The sequence below is a fragment of the Homo sapiens genome, chromosome 4 (genome assembly GCF_000001405.40).
Source record: "Homo sapiens chromosome 4, GRCh38.p14 Primary Assembly".
NCBI lineage: Eukaryota > Metazoa > Chordata > Mammalia > Primates > Hominidae > Homo > Homo sapiens.
This window is the reverse complement of record NC_000004.12, coordinates 105,426,850-105,441,186: the sequence shown is the minus strand read 5'-3', so window position 1 is coordinate 105,441,186 and position 14,337 is coordinate 105,426,850. Positions and strand designations below refer to the sequence as shown.

Here is a 14,337-nt window from a genome sequence, read left to right as displayed (position 1 = left end):
AGATTTTGAACTTCTGCTTCTTGATATTTCTTCTCCAGTGTTTGTTCTTTTCTAGTTATTTGTCTGTTAATAGTTACACACATAAGACTCCACAAGAGGGCATAACCAAAGCTTAAATTTGTCAAGATTTCCTTTCCTGTTGAAGTTATACTGTATTTTCAAGTTAAATTAGAGGTGAGTTAGTGTGTCTTTTTGTAGTAAAAACTAAGGCCTGTAGATGCAGAGTATTAAAGGTTGGAAATAAAGAGAACCAGTCTGGTATTTTTGCTGGTAAGGAAAATCATGAAGAATTGGCCCTAAACATAACAATATTGTAGAGTTTAAGAATTTTCTACTTGGGTACTTAATTTCTCAACATATGGAACCATATTGCTAGGTAATGTTGAAATTGGAGTTCTGAGGACCAACCAACCAACAGAAATAGTCACCACAACTAAGTTAATGTCAAGACAGTCTTTGTCTCTGTGTGAGGAATGACTTAAAAAAAATTAATGCTCATCAAAATTGTCATAAGTAGGTCATAAGTATGTGGGCTTCATGTTCACTGGTAGCATTCATGCAGATTGTAAATGAGCACTAACAATCTCAGCATTTTAGGGCTAGAATGTGTCTAAAGATCCTCTTATTGGCCGGCGCAGTGGCTCACGCTTGTAATCCCAGCACTGTCGGAGGCCGAGGCAGGTGGATCACGAGGTCAGGAGATTGAGACCATCCTGGCTAACATGGTGAAAACCCGTCTATACTAAAAATACAAAAACATTAGCTAGGGTGGTGGTGGGCGCCTGTAGTTCCAGCCACTTGGGAGGCTGAGGCGGGAGAATCGCTTGAACCCAGGAGGCGGAGCTTGCAGTGAGCCAAGATCGTGCCACTGCACTCCAGCCTGGTAGACAGAGGGAGACTCTGTCTGAAAAAAAAAAGAAAGAAAAAAAGATCTTCCTATTTAAGCCTTTCTTAATAGCTGAAGAAACAGATCTGGATAGTTTAATCAAGATAGTTTGTGGTAGAATCTAGATGTTTTCCTTTAGGCCAATGGGACTTCTAGCTTGTCGCATTTGTTCTCTTGGGAGTGGGAGTAGGGATAAGCAAAATTATGAGATGGGATTTCTGCATTAGCAAGGAGGAACCTCTCAGATATTTTCTGATTCTGCAGTAGGTTGTTTGATTCTGATTATACCTGGGTGTCCCATCCTGGTTTCCCCAGCACGTTAAGATTATCATTCTCAGCAAACTATCTCAAGGACAAAAAACCAAACACCACATGTTCTCACTCATAGGTAGGAATTGAACAGTGACAACACGCACACAGGAAGGGGAGCATCACACACTGGGGACTGTTGTCGGGTGGGGGGAGGGGGGAGGGATAGCATTAGGAGATATACCTAATGCTAAATGACGAGTTAATGGGTGCAGCACAGCAACATGACACATGTATACATATGTAACAAACCTGCACGTTATGCACATGTACCCTAAAACTTAAAAGTATCATAATAATTACCTTTATTGCATTTGTCACAAATGCCATGCCATTTATTATAATAATAATAATTCTTATTACCTTTATTGCATTTGTCACAAATGCCATACCATTTATTAACATGACACTCTCCATGGTATTGACTGTTTCCTATAAATCTCTGTTACTGGCCCAAAGTAGGTACTCAATAAATGTTTTACTGTATGAATGAATGCCTGTTAATAGAAAAAAAGAAGCAGTAACGGGAAGACTGGGAAAGAACAGAACCTCTCTAGGAAAGTTACTTAGGAGATTGCTCAGAGTAAGAGAAGGTATTTGAAAGAAGAGAACCGTGAAGTAGATGGGGTTATATTTGAAAATAAATGCCATTCAATTGTTATCATAATTTGCACATAAAAAATGATTAGTAGCATGAGTTCTAATACAATCTTTACCATATAGAAACCATGAGTTTGTGCAAGTTTAAACTCTGTGTTTCAATTTACTTATCTATAAAATGGAATTCGTTATGGTATATTATTCATGTGGTATGTATGTATATATGTGTATGTTGTGTGTGTATATATTAGCTAGAAAGTGTTTGTCACCTATGACCAGTATGTAAGATTAACAATTGTGGTTATTCTTATATTTTCTTAGTAGTATTAGTATTTGGGGCAGTGAAATGTTGTTGGACTTCATTTATTGATTTTTTTTTTTAAGATAAAGTTAGGCCAGGTTATTTCTGAATAAACTAATTAGTACTAGAAGGAAAATATTGGAATTTCTCTAATGCTTAGCTGTAAATAAGTTTGTTTGTAATTATCTATATAAAATTAAAGGAAATAAGCTTAGATAACCTGAAATCTTAGATAATAATGATAATCTGATTCTTGGGATGACGGTCTCTGTATCCCTTTTAGTTTGAATTTAAAGCAAATAATTTTAGGGAACTTCTACAGTTCCATTTAGAATCAGGCAATTCTGAGGCTTTTTGGGAGAGATAGTGCCTAAGGGATCTTTAATCTTACTAGCAAATTTCTATTACAGTCTTCATTTATAAAAATTCCTATGTGTATATTTTGTAACCAACAGGGTATAATCTTGCCAGTAAACTAAAGAATTGATGTCTTTTCATGTTTTTATCAAGGTCCTTGAGATTTGACAGGTAGAGGATTTTTTAATGGAATGAATAAGACAAAATAGGTTTTTATTTTCTTTAGTAGTGTTTTGTCCTTTCATTTATAAAGGGAAAACTGGATTCCTTTTAGTAATTTAGATCCATGTGCTGTTACCGGGTCAAAGGAAGCGGTGAATGACGGAAGCCACAGTTGAGGCAGTCAGCGGAAACACAGAAACAAGGGCACAGACAGTGGGAACATCCACTGAAACTCTAAAAGTGAATGTGAATTTATTCCCTGACTGAACTTGGAAGATGAGTATGTCTGCATATACCACCCACTTGCAGATGCAATTATACCAGCAACTGAGAGATGGAGGAAATACTATAAATCTGTTTTAAATATTATGATCCTTAGGGACATACTGGCCTGTTGGCCTTGGGCCTATGTAATTTCTGATAATGTTTTCTTTGGATTATTGTTATCTATAAAACTTTGTGATTATGTGGAAAGATTAAAGTACATTATAGTATTAACTTACATTTCTGCTTTTTTTTAAAAAAAAAATTTTAGACTTGGGAAGATCCCCATGAAAAAGATAAGAGCACGAACTGCTTTGGAGATAATGATCCTATTGATGTTTGCGAAATAGGCTCAAAGGTTTGTTTTATAGACTGTATTAATTCTAACGTGAGTTTTGGTTTATTCATGCCATAAAATTTCATTTTAGCCTCTAGTTCTTCAACTCTTCAGAGTTCAAGCCTATTGATTTCTCTGTTATCAGTCCCTCCTTTTATCTTCACTTTCTTGTCTTAAACCAGGGGTTGGTAAATTATAGCCCTGTAACAAGTCAAAGCCAGCCTAACACCTGTTTTTATAAATAACGCAGGTATGCCCATTCATGTACATACTGTCTATGACTGCTTTTACACTACGACGGTAGAGTTGAGGACTTGTAGCAGAGATTGTATAGTCTACAAAGCCTTTTATTATTATTTTATTATTTTATGTCTACCATCTGACCCTTTATGGAAAAATTTGCCAAGTCCTGTCTTCACCTTCCTTGCCTATTATTTAGATAAAAACTTCAATTCTCATGAAAGTCATCTGATACTTTTTCATTTTTTGTGTGCCTGCTTCCAGGTTGCCACATCCTACTGAATAAAAACAAAATCCACAATTTCAGAGATTGATGCTCCCCATCAATTCTTCTATATGTCTTTGGTCAGTTCTTTCTTCTATTTTCTACTACGTTTATTGTTACTATTTCTTGTTCTCTGCAGACATTCAACTCTTCTCCCTTTTTTCTCACTCCTAGAAGAACATCTTACCTTTAATTTTGTAGAGCTCAGAAACCAGCACATAAAAACTTTCAATGTGGTTTAAATTTGTATTTCTCTGATGATTAGTGATGTAGAGCATTTTTCATGTGTTTCTTGGCCACTTATATTTCTTTTTTTGAGAAATGTTGGTTCGTGGCCTTTGCGCACTTTTTAATGTTTTTCTTGTTGAGTTGTTTGAGTTGTCTTAGTCCTTTGTTGGAGGCATACTTTGCAGATTTTTTCTCCCATTCTGTAGGCTGTTTATTTTGTTGATTATTTCTTTTGCTATGCAGAAGGTTTTTAGTTTAATTAAGTTAAATTTGTCTATTTTTGTTTTCATTCCATTTGCTTTTGGGGTCTTCATCATAAATTCTTTGCCTAGGCGATATCCAGAGAGTTTTTCCTAGATTTTCTTCAGGAATTTTTATAGTTTCAGATCTTAACATTTAGGTCTTTAATCCATCTTGAGTTAATTTTTGTATGTGGTGAGAGATAGGGGTCCAGTTTCATTCTTCAGCCTATGGCTAGCCAGTTTTCCCAGTACCATTTATTGAATAGAGTCTCCTTTCCCCATTATTTTTTTGTTATTTGTTGAAGATCAGTTGGTTATAGGTATGTGACTTCATTTGTTTGTTCTGTGTTTTGTTCCATTGATCTATGTGTTTATTTTTGTACCAGTACCATGTTTATTTTTATACCAGTACTACAGCTATGTGGTATAATTTGTTGCTGAGTAATGTGATGCCTCCAGATTTGTTCTTTTTGCTTAGGATTGCTTTGACTATTCTGGCTTTTGTTTGGTTCCATATAAACATTAGGATTGTTTTTTCCTAATGCTGTGAAAAAATGACATTGGTAATTTGATAGGAATTACACTGAATCTCCAGATTGCTTTGAGCAATATTGGCATTTTAACAATATTGATTCTTCCAATCCATGAGCATGGGATGTTTTTCCCTCTGTGTCATCTATGATTCCTTTCATCAGTGTTTTGTAGTTCTTGCAGAGATGTTTTACCCACTTGATTAAATGTATTCCTGCGGGGTGTGTGTGTGTGTGTATGATGCGTGTGTGTGTGTGGCTGTTGCAAATGAGATTTTTTAATTTTGTTCTCAACTTGAACATTATTGGTATGTAGAAATACTATTAATTTTTATATATAGATTTTGTATCCTTAAACTTTATCGAAGTTGTTTAACAAGTCTAGGAGTCTTTTGGAGGAGCCTTTAGGGTTTCCTAGCTACACTATCATGTCATTAGTGAACAGAGATCATTTGACTTCCTCTTTTCCAATTTAGATACCTTTTATTTCCTTCTCTTGGGTGATTGGTCTGGCTAGGACTTCCAGTACTATGTTGAATGGGAGTGGTGAGACTGGACATCCTTGTCTTATTCTGGTTCTTAGGGGGAATGCTTTCAACTTTTTCACATTTGGTATGATGTTGGTTATGGGTTTGTCATAGATGGCTCTTACTATTTTGAGGTATGTTCCTTCAGTGCCTAGTTCGTTGAAGGTTTTTATCATGAAGGAATGTTGAATTTTATCACGTGCTTTTTCTGTATCTATTGAGATGATCATGTGGTTTTTATTCTTAGTTTTCTTTATGTGGTGAATCCCATTTATTGATTTGCATATGTTCAACCATCCTTGCATTCCTGGAATAAACCCTACTTGATCATGATGAATTATCTTTTTAATGTGCTTTTAAAGGACACAAGAACACCAGTGGAGTGTTGAAGCCTCCCACTAGTGTATTTCTCAGGTTCTTAGGTTTAGTAGTAGTTTTTTTATGAATCCGGGTGCTCTGATGTTGCGTGCATGTATATTTAGGATAGACCTTGATGACTGTGTGCCTTGGTGATATTCATCTTGCATAGCATCTCTCAAGTGTTCTCTGAATTTCTTGTATCTGGGTGAAAAACATGGAACAATTCATGAATTCACATATCATCCTTGCATCTTATAGCCAGAGAAGTTTATTCCTTTAATTAATAAGACCTGAAATAATACTTACTAAATATGAAATAAATATATGACTACCATCTAAAAAATAGTTCTCGGTTAGGGGTATGCTCCTTTCTTTCATGCCTGGCTATGAGATGAGTGGTTGAATCAGCTGTAAGAAACATAGTGGTAGGAAGTCACTTTTAACACCGCATTGTTAATGGGCAGAGGGAAAGAAGCAGAGTCCTGGAAGTTGGTAACAGACTTAGAACCACAGATATAGAAAACTTGAATGTTCTAAGTCCCTTGAGGGATTTTGTATTGTTCATTTGGTGTCTAAGAAAACTAAATGTTATACTTTCAGCACAGATTTGTTGAATTGATTTAGATTGAATTGAAGCGTGGTGGTTTTGTAAGAATTCTACCATTTATTCCTAAGCATCTAGTTTTTGGTTTGATTGAGTTTTCCTTTCCAGTTTTTAACGGTGTTACAGCAAAACACTGCTTTGTTTGAAATAAAACTGTGCCTTTCTGTTGCATGTGAAGTCAAAGAGTGTGTCTCATTCTGAGGCAACTTGGTAATCTGGGCATGCTTCCTTGCTTGCTTTATAACCTATACATGTCTTATCTGTTCTTATGTTGTTTGAAATTTTAAAATAAATTTTGTGAATAAAAATAGATAAAACAATTTAGAATGTGCTTTTTAAAAGCTATATGTGATTTCCAGGAATTCTTATACCCTGCTGCCAGAGTCATCTACAGGATTTCTTAACTTTGACACTATTGATATTACAGATGGATAATTCTTTATGAGAGAGGACTGTCTTCTGCAGCATCCTTTGCCTTTTCCTACTAGATGCTAGTAATACCTCCTCCCCAGTTGTGGCAACCCAAAATGTCTTAGGATATTGCCAAATATCCCCTAGAGGGCAAAATTGCCTTTGGTTGAGAAACTCTCATTTAGTGTATCCAGTGTGAATTAACCAGTATAGCCAACTTTAAACTGGCAATTATGTGATAACTTCAAATTTGAACATTTTTGTTTTATAAAGGATCTTACACATCTTTTGGTCCAATGTGCCATACCCTCCTGAAGACTTCTGTTCTCAAGGCTTTTTATTCTAGTTGTTCCTTATCTGACAGTTTCTAGATTATTTTCCACTCTGGTTCCTTTTCACTAGATCATCTCTGTTAATGCCCATGTTAGAATGGAGCAGTCTGGGTGCAGTGGCTCATGCCTGTAATCCCAGCACTTTGGGAGGCGAGCTAAGAGGATCTCCTGAACCCAAGAGTTCAAGACCAGCCTGGGCAACATGGTAAGACTGAGTCTCAAAAAAATAATAATAAATAAATAGAATACCATACTACCACAGCTAAACGCCCTTCTCTAAATATGATCCAGCCTGTATAAGTTAGCAATTACATATGCAGTTGTAAAATTTTTCTATGGAGTACTTTAGTTTTGATGTATATTCAGAGCTGCAAATATCATCCATATCTTTATAATCACTTGTCATATGTTCCTTTTGGGCTTGAGAATCTAGAATTTAAGCAACCAGAGTCCAAACTTGAGGACATGTATCAGAAATACTTTGTGATTGCAGCTGGTAAGAAGCATGCCGGAGGGCAGGGAATGGGAAAGGAACAGACAGTATTTCAGACAATTGAGACCTCAACTGTAGAGGGAAATTCTTTGTTTATAATGTCTCTTCCCGTGGACAGTGTTGTCATTATATTTCCTTCACAGATGTAGCTTTAGCTATTAACCCCTGGAGGCATGCACAAAGAGCAGCTGAGCTAAACACACAGTGGCTTCTGTGAGTTGGCACCAATATCAGTTCAGAGGAGCCCATATAAATCTGCTCATCTCCCATTTTCCATCTCCAGAGCCATCGTTTCTGTAATTTTTCAAATGGGAGTCTAATTTTGGAGTGGAAGCAGCTTAGTTGTTTACCTGTAATTTGGAGACTAAGGAAGATGAAACTTCTCTTTCTATTAAGAAATAGAAAAGCAGGTTAAGAAATCAGAGGTTTGGTGTTTTTTTAAGAATGCTGTAAACAATGGTTACATGCCCTTTTATAGAATTAGATCACTGTAGGAAATAACATATAAAGTGTCCCTCAGAAAATCTGATTCCTTGTCTTTGATCCTTTAGGATATTCTTCATGAGGTGTATACTTTTCAAAAAAAACTTCTCCTAGCCTTTTTGTTTACTGAGAATGGTAAGGGGAAAAATGAATGATTTCCTTTAGGAACCCAAACCTTAATACTGATGCTTATAGTAAAGTACTAGTCTATAAACCATTATTTGAGGTGCTCTATAAGAATTATCTCATTTATTCTTAAAACTGCTATGCTGTGAAACAGGTATTTTTATTTTCAAATTTTACATAAAATTATATTCCAAGGAAGTTAAGTAATTTCCCCAAACTTACATTGCTAGTAAGTTGGCAGAATTGGGATTGAATCCCAGGTATCTTGTACTGGAGCCTGTGTTCCTAGTCTTTACACCAGGGGTGTCCAATCTTTTGGCTTCCCTGGGCCACATTGGAAAAATAATTGTCTTGGGCCACACATAAAATACACTAACACTAACAATAACTGATGAGCTAAAAAATAAATAAATAAAATCTCATAATATTTTACGAAAGTTTATGAATCTGTGTTGGGCCACATTGAAAGCCATCCTGGGCTGCATGCTGCCCGTAGGCCGCGTGGGTTGGACAAGCTTGCCCTATCCCCTTCTGCCTCTACTGCTAATACTTGTGAGAATTGATCCACATATTTATATCCATCCTATTTATATTCTTTAGAATTTGCAGGTTATAGCCATATGATTTCAACTTTTATTATTCAAAATGACAGAATTCTAATTTTTGAGATTTACTTTATTAAGATATGTTTGATTAAAGTCTTGATTTAAATCAGCTGCATTGCAACAAGTTTTTCTGCATAAAGTTTGTTCTTTTGCTTTAATTTGATAAATGTTTGTATTTTTTTGATTGACGTTTTTAAGAAATTATCTGATCAATTTTGTAGTTAAACACAAAAACGTAAGTATTTTGTTCATTATAGAATAAACTTGAAGGTAGGTATTGGAAAGAAGCGAACCATTCACTTAATGATAACATAGTTTCAGGAGAGAGGACTTAAGGGATAGGAGCTGTTTTATTATGGTTCATTTTGACATGTATATAACAACCTCCACCATCATCAAAAATAATTTGTGATTAATTTTTTAAATTGAGGTACAATTCACATAAAATTAACCATTTTAAAGTGTACATTAAAATTAGTGGCAGTTAATACATTCACAGTGTTGTACAACCATCACCTGTATCTATCTAGTCCCAAACATTTCATGACCTCAAAAGGAAACCCCATCCCCATTAGCAGTCACTCCCCATTTCATTCTCTAACTGGCCCCTGGCAACCACTAATTTACTGTCTCTATACTATAGGTTTACCTATTCTGGATATTTCATGTAAATGGTCTCACATGATATGTAACCTTTTGTGTCTGGCCCCTTTCACTTAGTGTGCTTTTGAGATTCATCCATGTTGTAGCATGTATCAGTACTTCATTCCTTTTTATGGCTGAATAATATTCTGCTGATGGATAATATTACCTTTTACTTATCCATTCATTAGTTGATGGGCATTTGGCTTGTTTCTACCACTTGGCTATTATGAATAGTGCTGCTATGAACATTCATGTATGAGTTTTTGTTTGAATACTCTTATCCATTTTTTTCACCTAGGAATGGAATTGCTGGGTCATATGGTAATTCTGAATTTACTCTTTGAGGAACCACCAAACTGTTTTCCCCAGCATGTTAACTCCAACGAACAATATTCAAGGATTCCAGTTTCTCCAGATCCTCACCAATACTCATTATTTTCCCTTTTTGTTTTTTAACAATCATCCTAGTGGTTGTGAAATGGTATTGTGATTTTTTTAATTAAAACAAGCTTACGTCTGATTTTATCTTAAACAAATGTGGATAATTATTTTATCCAATAAAATAATGCATTTAAAAAAATAGTTTTAGCCATAAATGTGAAGTAGATTTTTTTCTAGCTTTGTTGAGTTATAATTGACATATAATAAACTGTACCTATTTAAAGTGTACACAAATTGATGATTTTTGATATAATTACATGCAAAATTATTATCAAAAATAAGAAAATGAACATATTTATCACCCCCAAATGTTTTCTTACACTTCTTTGTAATCTCTTCCTTTGACACTCCCAACCCTCTGTCCTCAGGCAAGGACTGATCTGCTTTCTTAGTACAGTTTGGCAGGAGAAGAAGCTTTGGCTCAGTTTGGGGTATGAATCCCAGGTCTTCCATTCACTAGTTCTGTGATCTCAGGCAAAAATTATTTAACCGTTGTGAATCCCAGTATCTTTGTTTCCAAGACAGGGATAATATCTACACTGTACACTAGTTTTTGTAAGTGAAGAATAAAATGATACCCATAGAAGACATACTGTAGTGCCCATCACACAGTGTCTGTTTGGTAAATCATTTTCTTTTCTCCTTGTACACTATTTGTTTTTCCTTATAAATATTTCACTACCCTTATCTAGACTATCCACTGTCATGTCCCTAATCTAGATCCAAATTACCTCATATCTATAGTGTTATAGTCTTCTGATTTGTTAGCCTCTATCTTGTCCTTTTATCATATTAGAGAACCTACCTTGACACTCTGTTGCCTAGATCAGGGCAGTGGCATTGGAAATGAAGAAGGCACAGCTATGAGAAATGATGCACGTAGTGTTGATATTACATGTTTAAACTCACATGTGTTCGGTCTTATATGCTGTTCGGCCCTGGGGTGTCTAAGTCACCCAAATAAGATTGTAAATCCTTGAGAACAATTCATTCTTTCTTTAATACACAGTGCCTAATATAGAGCCGAGTACTTAATAGAGGCTAAACATGTGAGTGTCTAATATAATTGTGTATATTCCCTTGGAATTCAGATTTCAGTTTAGTTTATACAATCACTTTAGTCAGTTGTGTTAACTAATTACAATTCCATGCAGATTTATGTTAAGATTTTAGAATCAACTTCCAAATATTCTGACAGGATTTATTTGACTTTATGACTTGAAATTCTAGTATTTTTTCCCTCAAAATAAATAATTTCAGGACACAGAAGTGACTTTTTTCTACATACCTTGTTTTCTAAATGTAAAACTGCATTTTGAATTCTGAGAAATTTATTCTGAAGCATGTGTTCAAATTCCAGGTTTACAGTGAAAATCTATAGCCAACTAAACCTTTAAAAGTAAAAGGATATATACAAAGAATGCATGCATATAAACTTGACGTTGGCAGCTTGAGGGAACCTCACTGAAATAACTTTCTTAAGCACATGGAACATCTGCTTAAGTCACGCTATTTCTGGGTTTCTCTTAAAATATTTTTGAAATATTTTATGAAACCTGTTTTGTCAATATCATTTATTATTTTCTTAAGGCTTTACTCTATTATGTTTTACTTTTCACTAGTAACCGATAAATGTGGTTTGTTAAAAAGGTACTATGAAGCAATGTAAAAGGATTCTCAGGTCTCTTTTCCCCTCAAGCAGCAGGAATCAAGTTTATATTATGTAATGGTACATACAGGTTTATTTTCTATTTAGTGTGAGTGTCTAGGCCTAGTAGATACCTTAAATTTCAAGATATGTAAATAACTTCAGTTTCAGCACAAATTGCAATAGGTTGAAACTGTAAACAGGTCCACTTTCTTGGTGCCTAATTTTTTAAATATATGGATTGCTTTTACTTACATAATGTGATGAGATTTTGATTTGTTAATTAAAAAATTGTCCTTAGACCTTAAAATGACTTTTTTCTTAACTTTTTAATTTTGGAATATTGACCATTATATGAAACTTTGCAGGTAGGCATAAGGGAATAAGTTATATTCGTGCTGAAAATCTCAGACTCATTGATGATAGCTGCCAGTGACAGGAGTAGTGTTGCCACTGTAAGATACGCCATCTTTGTTAGTTACTCTCATCTACTCGTTTCTTGTATTCTGCCTCTTGGTCATCTTTGATTCTCATTTATCTGCAAATTTTCTTGGTAATAAAATAATGCACTTCTAGCCAAACTTGCCTATGCTCTCTTATGTCCATAATTTTGGGGCTTGTTTTGGCAGTAGAATGAAATTAAAGGTTTTGCTTCAACTTCTGATTCCTCTAGATGGAAGAAGAAAAATGATCCCCTTTGTAGATTTAGAGCAGCCAGAGAAATTCCCTCCAGAATAGAGAAAGCAAAATATGGAGGAGAAGGTCAAGATGACAGGCAACTACCTATTGTGTGAGAATTCTGCAAACACTAAGCAGGGATATTAATTTAAACCACAAGGTATTTATATTATGAATGAGCTTGAACATCTTTTTATACCCCTAAAGGCTGTTTTCATTTCTTCTGTGAATTGCCTGTTGTTCATGGTTTCTTCCATTTCAATTGAGTTTTTTTCAGTTTATTTATTTATTTTTTATTATACTTAAGTTCTGGGTTACATGTGCAAAACGTGCAGTTTTGTTACGTAGGTATATATGTGCCATGGTGGTTTGCTGCACTCATCAACCAGTCACCTACATTAGGTATTTCTCCTAATGCTATCCCTCCCCTAGCCCCCCACCCCCAACAGGCCTCGGTGTATGATGTTCCCCTCCCTGTGTCCATGTGTTCTCACTGTTCAACTCCCACTTATGAGGGAGAACATGAGTTCTGGTTAAAGTCTGTTTTATCAGAGACCAGGATTGAAACCCCTGCTTTTTTTTTTTTGCTTTCCATTTGCTTGGTAGATCTTCCTCTATCCCTTTATTTTAAGCCTATCTGTGTCTCTGCACGTGAGATGGGTCTTCTGAATACAGCACACTGATGGGTCTTGACTCTTTATCCAATTTGCCACTCTGTGTCTTTTAATTGGGGCATTTAGCCCATTTACAGTTAAGATTAATATTGTTATGTATGAATTTGATCCTGTCATTAGGATGCTAGCTGGTTATTTTGCGCATTAATTGATGAAGTTTCTTCATAGCATCGATCATCTTTACAATTTGGCGTGTCTTTGCAGTGGTTGGTACCGGTTGTTCCTTTCCACGTTTCTTGCTTCCTTCAGGAGCTCTTGTAAAGCAGGCGTCGTGGTGACAAAATCTCTCAGCATTTGCTTGTCTATAAAGGATTTTATCTCTCCTTCACTTAGGAAACTTAGTTTGCCTGGATATGACATTCTGGGTTGAAAATTCTTTTCTTTAAGAATGTTGAATATTGGCACCCACTCTCTTCTGGCTTGTAGGGTTTCTGCCAAGAGATCTGCTGTTAGTCTGATGGGCTTCCCTTTGTAGGTAACCTGACCTTTCTCTCTGGCTGCCCTTAACATTTTTTCCCTCATTTCAACCTTGGTGAATCTGACAATTATGTATGTTGGGGTTGCTCTTCTCGAGGAGTATCTTTGTGGCGTTCTCTGTATTTCCTGAATTTGAATGTTGGCCTGCCTTGCTAGGTTGGGGAAGTTCTCCTGGATAATTTCCTAAAGAGTGATTTCTCACTTGGTTCCATTCTCCCCATCACTTTCAGGTACACCAATCAAACGTAGTTTTGGTCTTTTCACATAGTCCTATATTTCTTGGAGGCTTTGTTCCTTTCTTTTCACTCTTTTTCTCTAATCTTGTCTTCTCGCTTTATTTCATTAATTTGATCTTCAGTCACTGATATCCTGTCTTGTGCTTGATTGAATTGGCTGTTGAAGCTTTTGTATGCTTCACGAAGTTCTCGTGCTGTGGTTTTCAGCTCCATCAGGTCATTTAAGCTCTTCTCTACACTGTTGATTCTAGTTAGCCATTCGTCTAACTTTTTTTCAAAGTTTTTAGCTTCCTTGCAAAGGGTTAGAACGTGCTCCTCTAGCTCGGAGAAGTTTGTTATTATCGACCTTCTGAAGCCTACTTTTGTCAACTCATCAAAGTCATTCTTCATGCAGTTTTGTTCTGTTGCTGGTGAGGAGCTGCAATCCTTTGAGGAGAAGAGGCATTCTGGTTTTTGGAATTTTCAGCCTTTCTGCTCTGGTTTCTCCCCATTTTGTGGTTTTATCTACCTTTGGTCTTTGATGTTGGTGACCTATGGATGGGGTTTTGGCATGGATGTCCTTTTTGTTGATGTTGGTGCTATTCCTTTCTGTTTGTTAGTTTTCCTTCTAACAGACAGGTCCCTCAGCTGCAGGTCTGTTGGAGTTTGCTGGAGGTCCACTCCAGACCCTGTTTGCCTGGGTATCACCAGCAGAGGCTGCGGAACAGCAAATATTGCTGCCTGAAACTTCGTCCCAGAGGGGGCACCTATCTATATGAGGTGTCTGTCGGCCTCTACTGGGAGGTGTCTCGCAGTCAGGCTACATGGGAGTCAGGGACCCACTTGAGGAGGCAGTCTTGTCTATTATCGGAGCTCAAATGCCATGCTGGAAGAACT

General features: G+C 36.1%; 1 protein-coding gene across 4 annotated transcripts in view; it reads left to right on the top strand.

Annotated features, from left to right (window-relative positions):
* PPA2 (inorganic pyrophosphatase 2) overlaps positions 1 to 14,337 on the top strand; it is a 104,994-nt gene that overhangs the window by 32,884 nt on the left and 57,773 nt on the right. The window contains exon 6 of one of the 4 annotated variants that reach the window (NM_176869.3): positions 3,151 to 3,237. The exons of the other annotated variants lie outside the window; for them this stretch is intronic. Coding sequence (NP_789845.1) covers positions 3,151 to 3,237 — 87 coding nt within the window. The remainder of the gene's footprint in view (positions 1 to 3,150; positions 3,238 to 14,337) is intronic. 4 annotated transcript variants of the gene reach the window in all.